The 24,031-nt window shown below is 43.2% G+C and overlaps 1 protein-coding gene, 1 non-coding gene and 2 pseudogenes across 2 annotated transcripts, besides 1 other annotated feature; all 4 read left to right on the forward strand.

The window, feature by feature from the left end:
* Positions 885-1,174, forward strand: TMEM183AP1 (TMEM183A pseudogene 1; annotated as a pseudogene).
* SNORD32B (small nucleolar RNA, C/D box 32B) lies at positions 5,678-5,754 on the forward strand. Its single transcript, NR_003049.1, has one exon. It is a non-coding gene; the product is annotated as a small nucleolar RNA, C/D box 32B (small nucleolar RNA).
* RPL13AP (ribosomal protein L13a pseudogene) lies at positions 5,934-6,481 on the forward strand (annotated as a pseudogene).
* Positions 8,547-13,926, forward strand: OR2H2 (olfactory receptor family 2 subfamily H member 2). The gene is made up of 2 exons (NM_007160.4): positions 8,547-8,776; positions 11,096-13,926. The coding sequence occupies exon 2, from the start codon at positions 11,371-11,373 to the stop codon at positions 12,307-12,309; it is 939 nt and encodes a 312-aa protein (NP_009091.3). The 5' UTR covers positions 8,547-8,776; positions 11,096-11,370; the 3' UTR covers positions 12,310-13,926.
* Positions 18,225-18,732: an enhancer, noted in NCBI's record as "NANOG hESC enhancer chr6:29562576-29563083 (GRCh37/hg19 assembly coordinates)". NCBI's record gives its function as "activates a minimal SCP1, AML or CMV promoter by ChIP-STARR-seq in naive H9 embryonic stem cells {active_cell/tissue: H9 hESC(naive)}" and the evidence as "EXISTENCE:reporter gene assay evidence [ECO:0000049][PMID:30033119]".

Genomic DNA, 24,031 nt, shown 5'->3' on the forward strand with positions numbered 1-24,031 from the left:
TCAAGGTGAGGGGAAATAAACCAATCATGTGGCAGGAAAGGGAACCAGAAATATTTGGTGGATGATATGAATGACTACTAACTGGCTCTTTGCCTCCAGTCTTGACCGATTGAAATTGATTATCCATGTTGAACCAGAGTAATCATTCCAAAATACAAATTTGAATATGTTACTCCCTTAGCCAAAAATAATATATAGAATCCCCCTGCAATAAAATGTGGAGCCCAAACTCCTAGATCGGGTTCCTGTTTTCCAGACTTTACCATCCCCACCTCCTAAGGCTCAACCACCTAGAATCCTGCAAGTTCACACAACTACCTGCAAGTGCAAGTGTATGAACCACACCAGGCTCTCTGCCACCTTTAGCCTTTGAACGTGCTCCTCCCTCTCTTTGGAAGACTCTCCCCTCCAGCTCCTCTCTACCACCAACAAAAAGCACTTCCCATGAAGTAACAGGATCTTTTTAATTGTCTGCCTCTCAAAGTACACAGTAAGGAAAGTGAGGGTCAGGGTTTTGGCTCACTTATCCTTATACTCTTAGTGCCTGGCATAGTATCTGGCACAGTAGGTATGTAATGAATATTTATTACAGTCACCCCTCAGTATCCCCAGGGAATTAGTTCCAGGACACCCCTCAGATACCAAAATCTGCAGATGCTGAAGTCCCAAAGTTGACCTTGCAGAACTCACAAATACAAAAAGTCGGTTCTCACATCCATGAGTTTAGCATCCTGAGAATATTGTATTTTCAATTCATGTTTGCTTGTGGATGCAGAACCTGTGGGAATGGAGGATAGACTATATTTACAGAAAGAAATCCTAGGGCCTGCGTCCTCACGAAAGCATTGGCCTCCAGCGTGGGCTAACAGCAGAGCAGGGCGGAGCTGGCCCATGGTTGCAGACCTCTGTGCCAGCCTCCCCTAGACAAGAGCGCCGTGTCGAGGAGAAGAAATCGGCTCAAGCTCTGGGCCCATGATGCCTGCTCCTTCCAAAGACTGTGGCAGATTACGCCAACTGGGATCCGGCGGTCGCAAGGTCTAGAGGAGTCAAGAAAGCCATCACCAACGTCGTTCAGCAGGAAGTAAAATCCCTTTGTGTCTTGGAAGCCTCCCAGGTTCCTGCAGAAGAAGCTGTTTCTGGAGCTAGTGAGCCCTATGACATCATCGACAGCAGTAACTTGAAGAAGAGCAGACATGGAAGAGAAATCTGCTTTTCACTTTATATTTTTGCCTGTCTTTTAAATGTTACAGCTGTGTGTGCTTTACATATTCAAAATAAATTGTGTGTATGTGTGTGTGTGTGTGTAAATTTTAAGCAGTTAATAGGTTCAAGGCAGAAGTGGCTACAAGTTTATGCCCCAGTAAGAATCAGTTCCAGTGCTCTTCATTAATTGCCAGGCAAAATAGCCATAGTAATGTAGTAACTAGAATAAAATTTAAATTAGGTTAGTTATAAACACCCTATCCATTATCGACTCCCAAAGCTGCTTCATCCATGAATATTTAATATGCCACAAAACTATCAGAGATTGCTAATATATCCCATAATATAATATGAAACCAAAAGATTTTTCAAAAAGCTAAACTTGGGAGAGACTCATAGCAAAATGACATGTAATTCTGAGGTCATCACTGAGTATGGTACTTGAGTCTATCGCCACATGTGAAAAGCATCTGAATATAATCCAAAAAGCTATTGCAGTCATGGGCTGCAGAATAATGCGGTGGCCAAGAGGCTGTAATATTGTGATATAATAAGATATACATATTTGGCCTTTGATCCCAGTTCCTGGCACAGAGTTCCTAAGGCCCTTGTAATTCCCTGAGCAATAGGGGTGCTAGGAGAGTCTTTTGTTCTAATATTTGGTCTTTGACCAAATATGTCAGTTCCTAACATTGAGCTCTAATCCCTTGGAATTTCCTGGGTAACAGGAGCATCTTTTGTTCTAATGAGGTGACCCCTTGGGGGACCCCTGAATGGGGACTCTGACTAGAAGGACCAAGCCATGATTAGAAGTTTGAAACTTTCAGCTCTACCCTCATCTTCCAGAAAATCGAGAGTGGCTAGACATTGAGTTAATAATCAACTATATCTATTTGATGAAGCCTCCACAAAAATCCCTGAACTACAGAGCTCCGAGAACTTCCAGGCTGGTGCACACACAGAAATGCTGAGAGGGCAGCATGCCCCAGAAGCTCTGTAACCCTTCCCACACACCTTTTCCTGTACATCTCTTCTATTTTGTTGTTCATTTGTATCCTTTGGAATATCCTCTATAATAAACTGGTAAATTGAACTAAAGAGCTTTCATGTATTCTGTGAACTGCTCTAATAAATCATCAAACCCAAGGAGGGGATTGTGGGAACCCCCAGTAGGGTTCCCAGTAGGTCAGAAGTTCCAGAAGCTTGGACTTGTGATTGGCATCTGAAGTGGGGAGCAGCCTTATGGGATCCTTTAACCTGTGGGATCTCACTGTATCTCCAGGTGAATAATGTCAGAAGTGAATTGAATTGAATTATAGGACACCAAGTTGGTGTCCACTGAAGAATGTATTGGTCAGTCTGGAAGAAAAACCAACATGTTGGCCGGGCGTGGTGGCTCAGCCCTGTAATCCCAGCACTTTGGGAGGCTGAGGCGGGCGGATCACAAGGTCAGGAGATCAAGACCATCCTGGCTAACAAGGTGAAACCCCGTCTCTACTAAAAATACAAAAAATCAGCCAGGCATGGTGGCAGATGCCTGTAGTCCCAGCTACTCGGGAGGCTGAGGCAGGAGAATGGCATGAACCCAGGAGGCAGAGCTTGCAGTGAGCCGAGATCGCGCTACTGCACTCCAACCTGGGCAACAGAGCAAGACTTCCATCTCAAAAAATAATAAAATAAAACAAAACAAAATAAAATAAAATAAAAACGAACATGTTTTGGTGACTAGAAGTGTTGAATGTTGAGAATATAGTAGGAGAAAATGGTCAGTTTGGGGGTTTTCTACAAATACACAGAGCCCTTTCGCATTGCGCAGCATCCAATTTGAATCCTGGACCTGCAAACTCATGCCCAGGATATAGTGCCATATCAAGGGCAGCATTTGCATGTTTCTGGCAGGCCGGACGTTCAGTAGCTGCAGGAGTTAGATCAGTGTTGGTGAGTGAAAGCCATGCTGTTGAACACATACAGACCTGCATCCTGCCACCATAGTTACTGCCTTCATAAGTCCATTTTTACCAGCACTAGGGTGGCCTGTGGAGAAGACTGCTTAGTGTGAACTGGCCTATAGTCACTGTTTACTTGGTTTAGAAGAGGTTTAGAGCCTCTTCTATTGTGGATGCTTTCTAGTGGGCATTAGCATGTAACACAAAGATATTCACAATTTTCCCAATTTCATAAATAAAAAGATTTCCCATTTTCATAAACCTATCCAAGTGCCTCTTCCTCAAATTTCATTGTTCTTCATCTTCTAAACCTCCTCCTTCCAAGCACTTGACCAACCAACCAAGCCATTTGCCACTGCCCATGTATTCACAAATATTCTTCCATTAGGCCATTATTCTTTCTACACAAAATAGATAATCAGGTGCACTACTCAAAGCTTTGCCCATTGGGAAGATTTACAATTTCTACTGTCTTCCAGAACTACTCTTGAGTGTGGCTATAATGCAGCAGCAGTCCATTTTCAGCTCACACCAATGTGTTGAGCAGATACATCCATGAACCAAGGTCATCTTATTTTTCCTCCATTAGCCAATCATAAAGTACCCCTCCCCCCCCATGACAGATTAAAGATGGCTGCAAACTATCGGACAATCATCCCATCAGGAGGGCTATCTATTTCCCCTCCCCTTGAATCTGTGCTAGTCTATGACTGTTTTGACAAAAACAGCGTGGCAGAAGTGACACCATGCCAGCTCTGGGGCCAGCCTGTAAGAGAACTGGCTGTTCCTCCTTGCTATCCTGGAGTCCTGAATTTCCAAGTAAAAAGTCTATCATGCTGGGCAGACCATGTAGAAAGGCCCTGAGATAGCATGAAGACAGAGAAAATGAGCCCAAACTTACAGTGAACCCACCAAGGTGCCAGGCATGTGAGTGAAGCTGTCTCGGACCCTCTAGAGCAGTCCATCTGCCAGCTGAATACTTCCAAGGGATCCCAGCTGATGCAACATGGAATATAAGGAAACCCAGCCAATTTCGTTCCAAATTCTTGGCCCACAACATGTGAGATACAATAAGGTTTGTGTTCATTTAAGCCATTAAATTTGGGGAGACTTTGTTATGCAGCAATAAATAACTAGAACACTCCCATGAGCCACTGGTATGAGCAAGTTGGGAAGTACCAAGGCCACAGCGTGGAGGACATGGGAATCTGGGCCCCCCACTTCAGCACCTTGCATTTACCCTCCAGTTCTGCCCATGACTGATGCAGGATATACGACTTCTCTCTTACAACTGATGATGTTGCAACCACTAGACCTCATCACTTGATTGATTTGACAGGACCCAGCTCATGATGGACAGTTGTAGCCTAATAGCCATTTGATGTCTCATGATCAGGAGCTCTGTCTCTAGTAAGGCCCAAGAGCAAGCTAGGACTTGTTTCCTAATGGGGTTTACTTTCCTGCAGCAGACAGCATAGATTTGATGAAGAACCCCAGGGATCTATGTTGTGATTTTCCTTTCAAGGCTTGCCCAAAATGCCACACTGTATCTTTTCCCACCACTGATACCTTTAGTGCCCCAGAGTCTATTGAGTCACATGACCAAAGCACTACCACACGGCTGATATGACAGCTTAGAACAGCTGCGGACCCCAGGTCTGCTCTGGGCTTCAGTCAGTCGCTAGTAAACTGTTCCATGTGGTATTCCCATGAGTGTGGAATATGTTTCCTCTAGATCCTAAATAGGACAACCAAGCATTCTCTACCCTGGAGAAGAGGAAGGAGAAGACCAAGATTCACTGCTGGAAGAAGAAAACAGCCTATGAGGCTACAGAAACAGGCAGAAAAGAACGTGGAGAAGAAAACTGACAAATACACACAGTTCTCCTCAAGACCTATGGACTCCTGGTCTGAGCCTAATAAAGACTGTTTATTCCAAAAAACACCTCTGTATTATAAATTCTTCTGTGTAATAGTGTGTTACTGTGCATCTCTTTCCAATTCTGCATTACTGGTGTTAAGTGTGAAATGCAATAATGTGTTCTTACTTTAGAGGGATGTCCTGGCACAAAGTCTAAAAACTTCAAAGATGTGGAGGATGCTGAATCTTCACAGGGTGTATTTCCCACTCTCTGGAGTGCATTTGTCTTACCAGTGCCGCCAATATGCTTGCCCTCATGGCTCATTCTGTTTGGTTAATAAGATATTGTTGATACAGTGGAACGATGTCATGTTTTGTGGAATGTCCAGAAGGTCCACGTCCAGTGGTGTGCTGCATGCAGCTAGCTCATACTGCCTCATGGAGCCAACTGTTAAATTTTCAGAAATTGTGCAAACCAGTTGTTAAACATGACTATTATTTTAAAATAAGTTATTTTAAGGCATAGGTAACAAATCCCTAAGCTCTTCATTTTCTAGGTATTTAACTATCTTATCATATTTTCCATACTCTTCTGGTTATTTATATCTGTTATGTCTATATAATAAAGATACTAAATAATGTTGTCTGTATAATAAAAATATTCTGGATTGGTGATGAGCAACAATCACCATCTTTCGTTTGAGTCTCATGGCCATGAGACCAACCCCATGCACTGCTCTGAGACCTGCCAGCCACTCCCATTCCTGGGGTGCGGTCCTCCTGGTTCAGAAGTGATTTTCCATTAGGCTATCTTTTAATTTAAACATGAACTCTGCTGTGCCCATCACTGTCTGTGTGCAGTCACAGGTAGAGGGAGAGCCTTCAGATGGCACCCTCAGCACTTCCCAACCCTTTCCTTCCCTCTAGGCCAGAAGGTGGTGGTCGTACAATGCGAGAGCATCAACATTTCTGGCAAGTTCTACAGAAACAAGTTGAAGTACCTGGGCTTTCTCCGCAAGCGGATGAACACCTTCTGGAGGCCCTGCCATTTCTCGGCCCTAGCCGCATCTTCTGGTGGATGGTGCAAGGCCCACTGCCCCACAAGACTCACCAAGGCCAGGCCGCCCTCAACCACCTCAAGGTGTCTGACGGCATTCCACCGCCCCATGACAAGAAAAAGCTTTGGTGGTTCCTGCTGCCCTCAAGCTTGTGTGTCTGAAGCCTACAAGAAAATTTGTCCGCCTGGACACCGAGCTTATGAAGTTAGCTGGAAGTACCAGGCAGTGACAGCCACCCTGAAGAAGAGGAAGGAGAAGGCCAAGATCCACTACCAGAAGAAGAAACAGCTTATGAGGCTACAGAAATAGGTGGAAAAGAACATGAAAAAGAAAACTGACAAATACACACAGGTCTCCTCAAGATCCATGGACTTCTGGTCTGAGCCTAATAAAGACTGTTTGTTTATTCCTCAAAAACAAACAAACAAAAAAAAACCCTCTGTATTATAAATTATTCTGTGTAATGGTGTGTTACCATACATTTCTCTACAACTCTGCATTTTCAGTAATCTCACATTGACAGTTTAAAATTGGCCATGGTGAGAATATTTACACTGCAGAAATCAGCAAATGATGTAAATCAAGGCTTTTTTGCCTGGACTTGCAGCACATCCATGTCCCATTGGACCCTATTATGACGGGAGAGTTTTAACATGGTACTGAAGCAAAAATGTAAATGTAAATGTACACTTATATCCATACCTGTAAATTCAAACTGCCTTTGGTCTTTCTTCCTGATAGTATTTGAAAAGAACACATTCAGCCAGGCACGGTGGCTCACGTCTGTAATCCCAGCATTTTGGGAGGCTGAGGCAGGCAGATCACGAGGTCAGGAGTTAAAGACCAGTCTGATCAATATGGTGAAACCCTGTCTCTACTAAAAATACAAAAATTAGCCAGGCGTGGTGGCATTTGCCTGTAGTCCCAGCTACTCAGGAGGCTGAGGCAGGAGAATCGCTCGAACCCGGGAGGGGGAGGTTGCAGTGAGCCAAGATCATGCCATTGCACTCCAGCCTGGGCAACAGTGAGATTCCATCTCAAAAAGAAAAGAAAAGAACACATTATTCACCAGATTAATAGCCATATAACATGGACCTGAAACCGTGCTAATCAGGCACAACAGCTGTAATTACAGCTATTTCTTGGTTGAGTTTGTGCTAGTCTGGTCATCTTTCAAGTTGCATCTGATATTTGTAGTGACCAGACTGGTGAATTAAATGTGAAATATGATAGAAACAAACCCCCGCACCCTTTAAAGGTGGCCTCAATCAGCCATTTCCCTTGAATTGTGATATTGTTCTTGATTCACTGTCTTTGCGGTAAGAGGTGTAGATTCAGGGCTTCCACTTCAATCTGTAGCTCGTACTCCACAGACTAAAGAACTATGTGGGGATTCTGCCAATGGCCAAGCATGTGCATTCCAGTTACAGATTTAGAGACTGCAGAAATGACTACTGGGTAGATCCATGGACCTAGTACATGCCATTTATTAGCTGATCTCATAGGCTCCCTTTCTAATGGAAGAGAAGCATAACGATTCAGTTATATGAAGATTGGCTAAATGTTCTAAGTACTCTCCAAACCCAGAGCTTTATAATTCTCTGTTACTACAGTGTGCTCCATCTCAGAATAACTAAATAGAAAAGGAGGAAGCTGAGAACTTTAAAAACTGAGGTCCTGAATAGATGAATCATAAGCCTGAGAGGACTATCAGGATGCCCGGGACTCACTGGAGGTGGGAGTAGAGACACTGTCCTTTTTCTTCCTGTTGACAGAAAGAAGCAATGAGTGACCTCTTTTACCTACCACAGTGATGACTATTGTTGGCATATTTCCTATAGATATTCCCCTGCCCCTTTTACCATAATTTGTGGCTAATGAATTGTCTGTGGGCTATGGACCCTAGAGTCTCAGCAGAATTAATGAGCTCTTTCCCTCCGTGGGATCCCTCTACCACCATACCATGTCAACATTTCTACCTCCAATGCCACTAAAACAGAGGCACACCTCTGCCTAGACTGAGGGGGAAAATTGTTGGCAAAGAACTCAATGGCAAAGAACTCGATGGCAAAGAACTCGATGGCAAAGAACTCAATGGCAAAGTTCTGACCTTGGCTTCATCCTCCCTGCAGAGATTTGGTGGGCTTTGGTTGGTGCAAACCCTCTACAGTTAGCAGATTTGGGTTCAAACATCAGCTCTGGTGCTTACTAACTATACTGCCTTGGGAAAGTTATTTATATTTCTTTGTTTCAACTTCTTCATATTGGAAGGAAGAGAATAATATGTAGAGTTGTGAAGGATAATCAGCAGTGTAGAGTAAATGTTTAATAAACAACTTGGTTGGTGGCAGATGGGGAGAGCCCTAATTTGTAGTGTTTGCCAATTTTCATAGTGTAAATATTCCTGCCATGGCTGTCTCAAGCCACTGATGGTTTAATAACTGTCTCACAAAATTCCTAAAAATTTACTAATCAAGAGATAATCTGAGCCAGCTCCAGCTCATCACACACATGTGTGCTTAGAAAAGTGCCAGATGGTCAGCATTAGCAATCCCTATTGTGACCAGAGATGCAGTTGCCCATTCAAGGATGCCCATTCCTTTTTATTTTTTTGTTTCTTCCTGATGTACAAGTGGAGGCTGGGCACCAGTTAAGAGCTCTGTCATGGGGAATTGCTGGTACCAGAAGAGATTTTTATTTGATTGAAGGTAAGCAGAACCTTTGCTCTTTGGCTGTGAGATATCAGTTTCCGCCTATCCTCAACACTGGAGGACCAGATTTGGAGTTAAACTTACTCTAAAATCCTAGTCCTAGCACTTATTGACTAGGTAACCTTCTACAAGTCTCTTGTCCCGTCTGTGACTGTTCACTTTTTGGTAAAATTGGGATAATTTTATCTCTTTGTAGGGTCACTGTGAGAACCAGATGTTCAGGGAGTTGTTTATCACCATGCTTTGATGGTAGCTACTAACAGCAAGGGTAGCTCATGGTCACTAGACTATCATAAACCCCTTTCAAAGGACCTCCCAACTCCTTCCCCAGCTCCTAACACAATGCTGGCACTTTGGGGCTCAAGAAATGAATAAATGCGTAGACCAATGCATGAATATTTCAGAAGGAAAAGGAGTAGGAGAAAAATAATGAGAGTGGAAAAGACAGAGAACAAAGAGGGAAAGGGAAACAGTCACTAAGAAAGGTGTAATCTAAAGAGATTCAGCGATATAGCAGAGAAAGGAAAGGAATGAAATGCCAAGATAATGACAAAGTTAGAAATGTAGAAAATTAATTAGGATGACACATGATGGATAAATAAGAAACAATTGGCTATTGTTTAAGGTTACATGCAAAGAATTTTATATTACAAAGAAAACAAAGGAGGGGGCGGCAGCCAATGAGCATGAGGTTTCTTTTGGGAGTAATGAAATATTCTGGAAGTAAATGGTGTTGGTTGCACAACTTGTGAATATACTTTAAACCACTAAATTACACACTTCAAAAGGGCGAATTTTATGGTACGTTAAATACATCTCAAAAAATGAAAGCGAAGGCATAATTAAAAATTTAGAGGCCAGGCACAGTGACTCATGCCTGTAATCCCAGCACTTTGGGAGGCCGAGGCAGGCAGATCACCTGAGGTCAGGAGTCTGAGACCAGCCTGGCCAACATGGCGAAACCCCGTCTCTACTAAAAATACAAAAATTAGCTAGGCATGGTCTTGAGTGCCTGTAATCCCCGCTACTTGGGAGGCTGAGGCAGGAGAATAGCTTGAGCCCAGGAGGTGGAAGTTGCAGTGAGCAGAGATCGTGCCATTGCACTCCAGCCTGGGCTATAAAACGTGACTCTAAAAAAAAAAAAAAAAAAAAAAAATTAGAATGGTGGTGACATCTTGAGGGGTGACAAATTGAGAAAATTGAGAGATCAGGGAGGGGCACACAGAAGCTTCTAAGATACTTGAAACATTTGCTCAGTTCCTTAACCTAGTTGTTTAAATATGTAACAATATTTTGAAAATTAAAAATATATTTTAAGTGAGAAAAGAATAATGGGAAAAACAGGAAGAAGACAGAGACAATGGCAGAGAGTCCTGGCAAAAAGGGAGATGTGATAGAGCTTAATACAAGATGGGGACCCTGTAAGAGGAAGACATTCCTGCCATCCTCTGAGCTCCATGGCACGTTTGTGGTGTGGCCCACCATCTCATCTCCTCCCCTCATGGCCTTCCTAAGGTCCTGTAAGACCCTGAGTCCTTGTCTCTGACCTGCCAGAGTGGCTTCAGTCTCCCACCCCCAGCCCTCAACTGACCTTCTATGCCCCAATACATCTCTATTTTAAGGAAAAAGTCCAGTCACCTCCTCTAGGAAGCTTTCCCTGATATACCCAACCAAATTGGTCAGTCATCCTACAGAACCTTTACTCTCATTCACCCAGTACATTGGTGTTACTGGCCTTTAAATTTTGGACTCTCTTTTTGGTGGTGTCTGAAAGACTACAAGATTTAGGGAGAGTGATTCTTGGAGTCTTTCGATAATGTTCCTGTGAACCCTGGTGATTTTAACATGCTTGTGGCCACTCTTGCCTCCTACTTGTAAGCTACTCATGGCAAGGACGAAGCATGTGGACCAATTTCCACCCCTCCCTGAAAGTCAGTTGGTTCAGAAACTTAGGTTGCTAAAAAGGCCAGGGCAACCAACCTGATCTCTCTATAAGTAGGGATATCTTAAAACAAAACAAAATCTCTCTCATAGATAAAACACTGTCTCTGATAAGCTTACTTGCAAATGAAAAAATACAAAATAAATGGAATGTACAGAGTTCTATAAAATTCATTCAACCAATAGAGCAATAATTGAGCCTACAGAGACAACTTATCAGAAAATTCATTCAATATACCTTACGAGATCATCCAATAGATAAGAGACAACTCTAGAACAGCATTCAGAACATAGTGGCACTCAATAAATTTCCCCTGAATGAATGAATTAATGAATTAGTGCATATTTTAATCAGCCTCCTTTGCCCTCACCCAGGAAGTCAGAGGCACCAGTGTGAGTATCCATCTGCTGTCCAGTACATTCATGGATTCCTCACTCTCACTAGACAATGTTTGACCAGGAAGAACAGGGAATGAGAAGGAGCTGCTGGATGGTGATGAGCCTTGGAAAGGGAGGCTGGGCGAGCAGAGACAGAAGAGAAACACCTACCTGCTGTGACCTCACAAACACCCAGGCTGAGTTTTGATAAGACAGGTTGAATCACACTGGAGTGACAGCCTCATCCCTCCAGGTACAAACAAGAACAGGCCATGGTTAACCAAAGCTCCACACCGGGCTTCCTCCTTCTGGGCTTCTCTGAACACCCAGGGCTGGAAAGGACTCTCTTCGTGGTTGTCCTCACTTCCTACCTCCTAACCCTAGTGGGCAACACACTCATCATCCTGCTGTCTGCGCTGGACCCCAAGCTCCACTCTCCAATGTACTTTTTCCTCTCCAACCTCTCCTTCTTGGACCTCTGTTTCACCACGAGTTGTGTTCCCCAAATGCTGGTCAACCTCTGGGGCCCAAAGAAGACCATCAGCTTCCTGGACTGCTCTGTCCAGATCTTCATCTTCCTGTCCCTGGGGACAACTGAGTGCATCCTCTTGACAGTGATGGCTTTTGATCGCTACGTGGCTGTCTGCCAGCCCCTCCACTATGCCACCATCATCCACCCCCGCCTGTGCTGGCAGCTGGCATCTGTGGCCTGGGTCATTGGGCTAGTGGAGTCAGTGGTCCAGACACCATCCACCCTGCACCTGCCCTTCTGCCCCGATCGGCAGGTGGATGATTTTGTCTGTGAGGTCCCAGCTCTAATTCGACTCTCCTGTGAAGACACCTCCTACAATGAGATCCAGGTGGCTGTTGCCAGTGTCTTCATCTTGGTTGTGCCTCTCAGCCTCATCCTTGTCTCTTACGGAGCCATTACCTGGGCAGTGCTGAGGATTAACTCTGCAAAAGGGCGGAGGAAAGCTTTTGGGACCTGCTCCTCCCATCTCACTGTGGTCACCCTCTTCTACAGCTCAGTCATTGCTGTCTACCTCCAGCCCAAAAATCCCTATGCCCAAGAGAGGGGCAAGTTCTTTGGTCTCTTCTATGCAGTGGGCACTCCTTCACTTAACCCTCTCATATACACCCTGAGGAACAAGGAGGTAACCAGGGCATTCAGGAGATTGCTGGGGAAGGAAATGGGGCTCACACAAAGCTGAGGGAGAGCTGCTTAATGTGCTTTAAAAGAGAGGAGATTCTATGTGCTTTTATCAGAAAGTTTGAGTTCCCTGCCCCTCTGCCTTCTTCACACCCATTACATTGTGGGAATGGATGAAAGCCACATGTCTGTGTGTGTGCATGTATGTGTGCAAGAGACAGCGACTGAAATGTAGTAAAGGGAGGTATCTTTATGCGAAAAATTATAGGCATCAAGTATATTTTATATTTTTTTCTACTTTAAGTCTTCGCCTCCATAGTCATGTTCCTACCTTTATCACTTCCATTTTTAATTCCCCTCCCTTGCCATATCCCCACTATTCCTTCACCTCCAATTCTAATTCCTACCATATCTTCTTTGCTTCTCCCTCATGTTTTTCCCACTTCACTATATGTCTGTTTTGTATTCTCATTCTATTTTATTCCTCAAATAACAGCAAAAGAGAAGGGGAAGCTGAAGCCCAGCTAAGTTCGGAAACTCACCCAAGAACACACAGTGTCCACAGCATCAGAACTAAAATCCAGGCCCCATAATTTTCAGTCAGGCAACTCTCAAATACACACTGTTGCTTTCACACCATAATCAAATATCCCAGTATTTCAGGCTTGAGCCTTACAAAGGAAACTTAGCTTCTTCAGTCCTATTTCTTCTCTTACAATGCCCACAAATCGCAGGTAAAGGAGCAGCCAAAAAGACACAAAAATATCTTCATGTTTAGGCTGGCACATTGTGGACCTTGGTGTCATCTACCGGCCAAATATGGTATTGCATGTGACATCCCAGACTTCTGCTCCAGGGTCATCCGAACTGTACTTTGCTCAAAGACATAGATATGGTTATGATACTATAAGCATTTATGTAATTGTTATGTTAACCCAAGTAACACTTAAAGTACAGATGCTCCTTGACTTATAATGATGTTACCTCCCAAAAAACCTATCATATACTGAAAATATTGTAAGTTGAATATGCATTTCATACACCTAACCTACCAAACATCATAGCTTAGCCTAGCCTACCTTAAACATACTCAGAACACTTACATTAGCCTACAGTTCAGCAAAATCCTCAATACAAAGTCTATTTTATAATAAAGTTTTGAATATCTCATGTAATTTACTGAATACTGTACTAAAAGTGAAAAAACAGAATGGTTATATTGGTACTCAAAGTACGGTTTCTACTGAATGTATCTCTTTTGCATTATTATAAAGTCAAAAAATGGTCAAAGTCAGGAACCCCCTGCAATTTACACATATTGACTTATTTAACCCTTATAACAACACTATGAAGCAGATAATATTATTATCCTTTTTCAGAGGTAAAAACTAAAACACAGAATTTATGTTACCACTTGCAAATGTGCAAGACAGGATTTGAACCCAGGAAAACTGGCTCCAGACTCCTTGCTCTTAACCTTGCCTTTTGGTAAAAATAATGCCTCCCAGGCCCAGGTGAAAAGCTTCAACTTCTCAACAAGCTTTGAGGAAATCATTTCAATCTAAAACTATATCTAAATGATCCCCCAGCCGAAGGGGTTTCACTTCCTTAAAATAAGAGTTTTTCAAATACTTCAAAGCATAAGAAACAACAGAACAATAAAACTTTTGGAAAAAGTTGTGTTACAGTTCATTGTGTGTGTGTTTCTGGCTTAGTTCACCCACTAGATTTCAGGCTCTCAGAAGGCAAGGACCAGAATTTTGCATAAAATTGGCACCCAGTTTTATAAATGTATAAGTGAATGAATGAATGAATGAATGAATCTTACTCTCCAAAGAGAATATATAAAAGGTTCTGGGGTTCCAATCCCACATACGCTGTCTCCCAGCTTTTCCCTGGCAAGGGCAGCAATACCAAATTCCCTTTTGAGTACACGCCGATAAAATAAGAAAAAGGAAAATCTTAGTTTTATTTCTAGTTCCAACATAAAATGATTTTGATTCAACATTTATCCTGGCATCAGCACAGAACAGCAACATTAATTCTATTATAATCCTAATCTTTATCCTAGCCATCCTTGTGTTAATCTTATTGTCTCCTTGACCTCGTTATTAGAGCATATTCTAATCTTAATGTAGAGCCCCCATTTTATATTTAATAATCCTAATCAGTCAGGCGCAGTGGCTCACACCTATAATCCCAGCACTTTAGGAGGCCAAGGCGGGCGGATCACGAGGTCAGGAGTTCGAGACCAGCCTGACCAACATGGTGAAACCCTGTCTCTACTAAAAATACAAAAAAAAAACTAGCCTGGCGTGGTGGCGTGCTCCTGTAATCCCAGCTACTTAGGAGGCTAAGGCAGGAGAACCTGGGAGGCGGAGGTTGCAGTGAGCCGAGATCATGCCACTGCACTCCAGCCAGGGCGACACAGTGAGACTCTATCTCAAATAATCATAATCATAATCATAATCTCAGCCCTACAGGTAAGGCTAAGCTTAATTCCACTTTTCAAATCACTGTAGTAAGACCTTTTTTTCATGACCCCCTCTATCTGCTTTCTCTTACTGGCACCTAGAAATGTCTACACTTTTCTCCTGTTTATCATCTCCCTACAGCCAGAGGCTATAATGTTTGTATATAGTAAAATCGTTTCTAGACTGACTCTAGGGGAAATGCAACAGAGAATTAAATAAAGCAGTCTAAAAGAATCTGCTTTGTTGAATAAATGGTTTAACATAGGACTTAGGACTAACATCTCTTATCCTAAATTCATTGTTTCCATGTGACAGTCATCTATTGGATACTCTGTGAGAAAATCCAATATAAAGTTACTCAGTCACAACCCCCACAATGTCCAGTGAAAATAGGGATGGTCAGGCACATAGTGCCAGCATACATGACAGTTACACAACTGAATTGGAGCAAATAAGAGTCTACAGGAATACAGAATTAAAGAATAATGTGTGTGAGTGCTTGGAGCGGCAGTGATCATGGAAGCCTCTTAGAGGTTTGAACCACAGAAGAGTAAACAAAATAAGAAGTATTTGCTGACTGTGTAGAAATGAGATGATGCAAAGACCCCCTTTTTAGGGGCTTGGGGACTCCTAAGCATGGAAATAAAGCAAAATCCTGTGTTTCTTCAAGGAAAATTCCAGGCACCTAGCTGGCTCTGAGAAATAAGTAGCAACTTGAAAAGCAACAAGGTAATAGCAGCCTAAGACAATAGCCAAGGAAGTTAAGCGTTCTGAATAGGTTTGCTTTCCTCATAGAAACTAAAGATAACCTCTTAACATATGTCTCTGCGTTGTCTCTCAGAAACTCGGAACCCCACCAAATGAATCTGCTGGCATAGACCTCAGAGGACAGGAAAATGACTGAACTTTATAACCATCATCCTTTGTTCTAAGTTTCTTCCTGAGGAGCTTGGAGAAAGTAACACCTTCTAGGCAGTTAACATTTTTCTACTGGACCCCAAATTTTTAAACAAAGGTTCTCTTCCTTAACTAATTGCAAATTTGGGGTTTTTTTGTTTTTGTTTGAGACAGGCTTTTGCTCTGTTACTTAGGCCAGAATGCAGTTGCAGTCGTAGCTCACTGCAGCTTAACCACCCAGGCTCAAGCAATTCTCCTGCCTCAGCCTCTAATTAAAAAAAATTTTGTGTGTGTAGATACAGAGTCTTGTTATGTTTCGCAGGCTGGTCTCAAACTCTTGGCCTTAAGGGATCCTCTCTCCTTGGCCTCCCAAAGTGCTGGGATTACAAGCATGACCCACACCTGGCCAGAAAAATCTTTGAATCTACCTATAACCTGTAAGTCCCTGATTCAAGATATCCCACCCTTTTAGATCAAAACCAATGTGGAGGCCGGGCACGGTGGCTCACAGCTGTAATCCCAGCCCTTTGGGAAGCAATGTGGGCGGATCATGAGGTCAGATCAAGACCATCCTGGCTAACACGGTGAAACCCCATCTCTACAAAAAATACAAAAAAAAAAATTAGCCAGGCGTGGTGGTGGGTGCCTATAGTCCTAGCTACTCGGGAGGCTGAGGCAGGAGAATGGCATGATCCTGGGAGGCAGAGCTTGCAGTGAGCCAAGATCACACAGCTGCACTCCAGCCTGGGCAACCGAGCAAGACTCCATCTCAAAAAAAAATGTGGAACCTCTATGCACTGATTTCCAATGTTCCTTGTAGCTTCTGCTTTTCTGAAATTTACCCCTGCCTTTTTTTGTTTCCTGTTTTTTGAGACAGGGTCTTGCCGTGTTGTCCAGGCTGGAGTGCAGTGGCATAATCATGGCTCAGTGCAGCCTCAACCTCCTGGATTCAAGGGATCCTCTCACCTCAGCCTTCTGAGTGGCTGGGAGTACAGGCATATGCCACCATATTTGGCTAATTTTTTTATTTCTTGTAGAGTTGGGGTCTCACTTTGTTGCCCAGGCTGTTCTTGAACTCCTAGGTTCAAGTGATCTTCCTGCCTCAGCCTCTCAAAGTGCTGGGATTACAGGTGTGAGCCACTGCACACTGCCTTACCCCTGCCTTTAAAAACCCATGTTACAATAGTTAGTCAGACACGAGCAGGGCAGGAAAGGGCCTCCTTCCCCACCAGGAATGTCAGGCAACCATCAGGTGATAGGCGGTTGTTAAGCTGTCTCTCTAAAATAATCATTGGTCACAGCCTGTGCCAGGGAAAAACAGTCTCCCAATAAATAGAAAAACCTGAAACTAAGATCTCAGGAGTTGGGCAAGTGGGCTCATGCATGGGCACTAAGGGAGAAATGACAGCATTTAACTGGTTTATAACCTTATAGGAACACTCCCTGGTAAGGGAAGAATGCCTCAAGTCAGCATGCATACTACTCCAGTAAACATACCGTGCATGCAGCCCCTCCCAAGCACTAGCAGGCCACTGTACATGCAGACAGCCCACCCCAAGGGAAGATTCAGGGGAGAAGGGACCCTGGAACCCTGCCAACATATAAAACCCTAAGTCAAGGTCAAAACCACGCACTTGATCTCTCAAGTTGCCTGCTTGGCCCCCTTCCAAGTTGGCTTTACTTTATTTTGTTCCTGCTGTAAAGCTTTTTAATAAACTTTTACTCCTGTTCTAAAATTTGCTTCGGTCTCTTACTCTGCTTTATGCCCCTCAGTCAGATTCTTTCTTCTGAGGAGGCAAAAATTGAGGTTGCTGCAGACCTGTACAGATTCGCAGCTGCTAACATATTTTCATGCCATGTAACTCTGATACATTCTGCCGCTAATACCCTTGCCTGCAAGACATCAGGGAGGCCAGGACTTGAGTGTTTAGCTGCCTGGTCCTCCCTGCGTAGTGTCCTGCAACAAATGCCTTTCTTTCTATTGGTGCAATCCTTGGTGTAAGTATCTGGTTTTATTGCACCAGGCAAGCAGACCCCAGTTTGGTTCTATAACAGAAAAGGCTAAAGACAAAAATAAGCATGTTGTGCATTAAGATAGGGAGATGTGGGGGAAGGAGTTACACCGAGGAGCAAAATGATTAAGCAGGAAGGTAGAGATTATTTCAGAAAGATACAGAAGCTACTGAATTGAATACAACCAGAAAAAAAAAAAAAAAAAAGGATCCCTTACAGATGTTTCAAACCTACATGATTTAGGTCTCCTGAGGGCAGGCACTTAACTATTCATTCTAACATGACATGTGAGTTGGAAGCCTTAAAGGAACATTATTCAAGAACCTCGTCTCTACTAAAAATATGAAGTCTCTAATAAAAATTAAAAAGTCTCTACTAAAAATACAAATAATAATAATAATAATAATAGCCAGGGCTGGTGGCAGGTGCCTGTAAACCCCTTGCTTGGGAAGCTGAGGTAGGAGAACCACTTGAACCCAGGAGGCGGAGGTTTCGGTGAACCGAGATCACGCCACTGCATTCCAGCCTGGGAGTTAGAGTGAGACTCCATCTCAAAAAAATAATAATAAAATAAAATAAACCTCAAACGTCTGAAGGGCTCACCGAATCATGAATAGATGCTTATGTGTAGGGCCCAGCCCTGTCTTATCCTTCTATCTCCCAGGGAAGGGGAAACCTTCTGGCTCCTCCTATGCAGAATTAATCGCTCACCCTTGAAGGGTACCAGTATATGCCACCTCAAACTATCTTTAGCATGTGGATTATTTTGAGCTAACAATTGAAAATCATCAGACTAGTGAATGCTGTAAAACAGGATACAAGTTTTCCTTTTGTAAATAAATTCACATCTGTAAAGGTACAACTCTTACTAATGGAGAAGACATCAGTTTAAATCTACATAACAAACCTTTTCTATCTGTAAAGGTACAACTCTACTAATGGAGAAGACAGTTTAAATCCACATAACAAACCTTACTAAACCACTTTGTTCCATATTTTCCTGGTCACTTTCCCATAACTTGCCTGCCCATCTACCACTCACCCAGAAGCCCCAAACTCCTTTTCCTTTACCTAGCCAAGATGTTATACAGTTGCTAAGAACAACACGATTTGAACTCCATGGATTCACTCACACATGATTTTTTTCAGTAAGTATATTGAAAATTTTTGGAGATTTGTGACAATTTGAAAAAACTCACAAACCACATAGCTTAGAAGCACTGGAAAAATTAATGGGCCAGGTGCTGTGGCACATGCCTGTAATCTCAGAACTTTGGGAGGCCAAGATGGATGCATTGCTTGAGCTCAGGAGTTGGAGACCAGCCTGGGTAACATGGGGAAACCCCATCTCTGCAAAAAAAAAAAAAATTAACTGGGCATGGTGGCACGCACCTGTAGTCCCAGTTACTAGGGAGGCTGAGGTGGGAGGATCTCTTGAGCCCAGGTGGTTGAGGCTGCAGTGAGCTGTGATTGCACCACCTCACTCCAGCCTCAATTAAAAAAATAAATAGGGCTGGGCACGGTGGCTCACGCCTGTAATCCCAGCACTTTGGGAGGCCGAGGCAGGTGAATCACGAGGTCAGGCAATCGAGACCATCCTGGCTAACACGGTGAAACCCCGTCTCTACTTAAAAAATACAAAAAATTAGCCAGGCGTGGTGGCACACACCTGTGATCTCAGCTACTTGGGAGGCTGAGGCAGGAGAAACGCTTAAACTCAGGAGGCGGAGGTTGCAGTGAGCCGAGATGGTGCCACTGCACTCCAACCTGGGCGACAAAGACTCCATCTCAAATAAATAAATAAATAAATAAGAGAAAAGTATGTCATGTGTAAACCAAAAATAAAATTCTAAGCCCCCTAACTGACAGGAAGAAAGGTAAGACATGCCAATGATACCCTCCTTCCTCTGGAGTTTAGGGACAACTGACCAGCATTAACATTACAATAGAGATCATAAGACTGACAAAAGATTCTCTGTAGCAATAAAATAGTCAACTCCAACCTGACTCTGATACAGCATCACACCACAGATAGCAGGCCCTGAAGGAAATCAAAGTATTTTACCCCAAAATATACTTATTTGACATTTTGAAATGACTCTGCAAAGCCATTTCTTGTCATGGGGATTTGCATTTTGTAGAGAATCCCCTTCCCCTTCCAGGTCTTTTTCTGATCCAGGAGGGATTTTACTAATGAGTCTGACATCTTTTAAGGTGCGATAAGAAACATTTACCATCTATTCTTTCTGAGGCCTGGAAGCTTCATCTACGTAACAAGAATCTTTGCTTCCACAAACATCTCCCCCAACGCCACCTCCACGCCCCCTTAACTCAAGCATTTCTTTCTGCTGACTTCAACTCTTTAGGCAGGGCTTAACTTTTTCAACCAATTGGCAATCAGAAAATCTGAATCCCCCTATGACCTGTGAGCTCCCTTGCTTCGAGATGTCCCGCCTTTCTGAGCTGAACCAATATATACCTTACATGTATTGATTTATGTCTTTGTCAGCAACTTCTGGCTCCCTAAAATGTATGAAACCAAGCTGTAACCCAACCACCTTGGGCACATGTTCTCAGGAACTCCTCAGAATGGCTCAGAATAAACCTCTTCAAATATTTTACAAATTTTACTTTTTTCATCAACAAATAAATGTATAAAATATATGTAGATACTACCAAAAAATATACACAAATCTACTATAAAAACCAAAAATTTGGCCAGGCACTTAGGGAGGCTAGGTGGGCAGATTGCTTGAATCCAGGAGTTCATGACCAATCCGAGCAATATGGTAAAACCCCATCTCTACTAAAAATACAAAAAATTTGTCCGGCATGGTGGCATGTATCTGCAGTCCCAGCTACCCAGGAGGCTGAGGTAGGAGGATCACCTGAGCCTAGGAGGTTGAGGCTGAAGTGAGCCAAGATCACGCCACTGCACTCCAGCCTGGGCAACAGAGTGAGACCATGTCTCAAAAAATAAATAAAATTTATCAAAACTTACGCACACACTTACAGACCATACATAAGCCACTCAAAGTCAAGAGAAAGCTTAACAAAAGATGCAGAATTAAATCATAACGGCATAAAATTAACTGTAGTGTATACTGTTCTACTGTAATTTGATAGCCACCTCCTCTTACTATTGCAAAGAGCTCAACTGTTGCAAGTATCTGCCTAAAATGCCAAGTGACACTAATCATCTCTGCATGAGCAGTTCATCTATCCAGTAAATTGTGTATAGCAGTAAAGAGTGGTCTCTCAAGATTCTTGCATATATTTCATCATGTCTAGAGCAATACTGTGAACCTTAAATAACACCATAGGGCCCATATGAAGTGCCAACAGTGATGCTGGAAGTTCTCCCAAGAAGCAAAGTCATGACTCTATAAAAAGTTGAATTGCTTGATATACACCATAGATCAAGGTCTGTTGCTGGGGTTGCTGCCATTTCAGACAGACGATTCATCATGTAAATGATGTAAACTTAAGGCATCAATAAATACAGTATAGTACCCTATATGTATTTTCCTTACAATTTTCTTGATAACATTTCCTTTTCTCTAGCTTACTTTATTATAAGAATACATATATAAGATGTATAGCATACAAAATATGTGTTGATCAACTGTTTACACTACTAGTAAGGCTTTCAGTCAACAGTAAGCTATTAGTAGCTAAGTTTGGAGAGAGTCAACAGTTATGTGCAGATTTTCGTTTGTGTGTGGGGTCAGTAACCCTAAACCCCAAGTTGTTCAAGGGGCAACTATATGAGCTCCAAATTCTTTTTTTTTTTTTTTTGAGTCAGAGTCTCGCTCTGTCAACCAGGATGGAGTGCAATGGCGCGATCTCTGCTCACTGCAACCTCCGCCTCCCAGGTTCAAGCAATTCTCCTGCCTTACCCTACCGAGTAGCTGGAATTACAGGTGCCTGCCACCACACCCGGCTAATTTTTGTATTTTTAGTAGAGACAGGGTTTCACCATGTTGCCCAGGCTGGTGTCAAACTCTTGACCTGAAGTGATCCCCCAGCTTCAGCCTCCCAAAGTGCTGGCATTACAGGCATGAGCCACCACACCCAGCCATGAGCCCAAATTCTAACTGCCCCTTTGCATTGTTCACCACTGGGTACTCCCATGTGTACATGCATGAAGCAAATGTTAATAAACTTCTATTTGTTTTTCTCTCATTAATCTGTCTTATGCCACTCTAATTTACACAGCCACGGCTGGAGAACCTAAGACAGGAAGAGGAAAAGGATTTTCTTTCCTACACTCCCTACACACACCTGGGGAATGCACTCTGCAGGCCACATGACGTTGCTTCTGCATCTGTCTCCCTAGCTTTGCTGCATCAGTCCCAGTGTCCAGCCCACACAGGCCTCAGTACATGTCCCTATCACAGCTGCTGCTGGTGCTGAACTCACCTTCCAGGAGAGTCTCCAGCATATCCTTCCACACTCCAGGGAGCCATGTAAGTGGATGCCATACTGGTTAAATATTTTGAGTAGCATCCCATTTGAGGGAAGCTGTCACTTAACATGAACCCACCATAAGGTGGCTAATGAATAGCACCTTTCTGCCTGCCTTCAAGTGACAGCCTCCCTTAACATGAAGCCTACCTTTTGGTAAGCTTCATGTCAAGTGATAGCTTCCCTCAAGGGCAAAGTCACAGAATTATCTGTTTCAAAAGCCTGAGTGGATAAACAAACTGTTGCCTATCCAGGGTGTCCTAAAACTACCAAGGACTGTGGGAGGAGCAATTGGCAGGACCATCTTCAACACTTCCCATTTTCTGCTGGGGTGAGATCACAGCTGGCCCCCAAGCATCCAGAGGAATCCAGGGCCTGGTAAGAGGCTGTATGACAGCAAATATACAAGGCTAGGGTGCTCAGCTCAGAGGGCGGACAAAGAACATGTTAAAGTGAAGTGAACACTGGCTTTGCAGCAGGCAGACCAGATGCAGCAGACTGCTTTTACCAAAGCAGCCTGCAACACACATTTGTCCCATTCCACATGTTCTCTTTACAGTGTGACTTACGCTCATCCCACCAACAGGTGAAGTGTTTCCTCTCCTGAACCTAGGCATGGCCTTGTGACTGCTTGGACCAGTGGAATATCTCAGAAGTGATGCTACGTGACTTTCAAGGCTTTGTCAGGGAAAAAAAAAATACAGCTTAAACCTGGCTGACTCTCTACAACTGCCTCCACTTGCCTTTGGAACTGTCATTAGGTCATGAGGAATACCAGGCCACATGGAAAGGTCATGTGTAGGGGTCTCAGCTGACAGCCAATACCTCCTTTAGATGCTGAGTGAAGGATCTTTTGGACAACAACCCTCAGACTTCAGATCTTCCAGATGCTGTGGAGCAGGGTGAACCCTCCCCACTGTACCCTATCTGAATTTCTAGCCCACAAAAACCATGATGGATAATAAATGATTATTGTTGTCTGAAGCCATTTAGGGTAACAGGTTTTGTGGCAATAGATAATAATATATGCAGTTTGAATACTGGCTTTGCTCCTTAGTTTTGTGACCCCAGAAAATGAACACACAGTCCCCTTGCTTTTAGATTTGTCCTTCACACCAGAGCTAATGGCTGTGAGATGCCCAACACTCCTGGTTGCTCTCTTAAGTGATCTCGTTTGTTTTTCTGCTTACTGGTCATCTTCCCACGTCGAGAAGGTACAACGCTTGAAAGCCATCTTACTCACCATTTTGCCTCAGTGCCAAAAAAAGCACCTGCCACAGCAACTCACCATCAACACTTGTTGAAGATCACCTAACTAATGTAGCAGCCAAGTGCACACAAAGTGCTCTCTACTGGTAGACAACCAACAGGAGGGCAGGGAGGCAACAGGCTAAGTCAGGGAAAAGCAGGGGACATGGAAGCCTGCAGGCAGTCTACATTCTAGGACATTCCAGAGTTAGAAAGTGATCTGAACCCTACCCAAAGGCAGGTCTGAAAGGCAAAGCCTGCCTCACAGTGCACAGGGAGCAAGTCCTCCCAGAACTGCCAAGCGGTAGCCTCTCCACCTGGCAACACATCTCCTTTGCACCCCTTGGGGTACAATTATATATTAATTATATATCATTGTGTGTGTGTATATGTATATATGTGTGTGTGTATGTGTGTGTATATCTCATTGTAATTATATATAATGTACTAATAATTAGTATTAGTGCTAATCAATAGCACCATTCACCCTGAAAAGACACTTTCAGAAATGAATACATGAAGTCTCATTGTAGATAAGCATTGACAGATGAACATTTGCAACTGATCTTAATCATCAGGAACATTAACTGTGAACTCAAATAAGTAGTTATCTCAAAATTGTTTTTCTTATTAGTAGGAGGCCTGTATGAAAAATAGTGCTCAGTCATGTTTTAAATTTGGCCA

Source organism: Homo sapiens, chromosome 6, assembly GCF_000001405.40.
Source record: "Homo sapiens chromosome 6, GRCh38.p14 Primary Assembly".
Lineage (NCBI taxonomy): Eukaryota > Metazoa > Chordata > Mammalia > Primates > Hominidae > Homo > Homo sapiens.

Coding starts and splice junctions, on each gene's coding strand:
- OR2H2 (NM_007160.4), top strand. CDS start 11,371: ATGGTTAACCAAAGCTCCACACCGGGCTTCCTCCTTCTGGGCTTCTCT.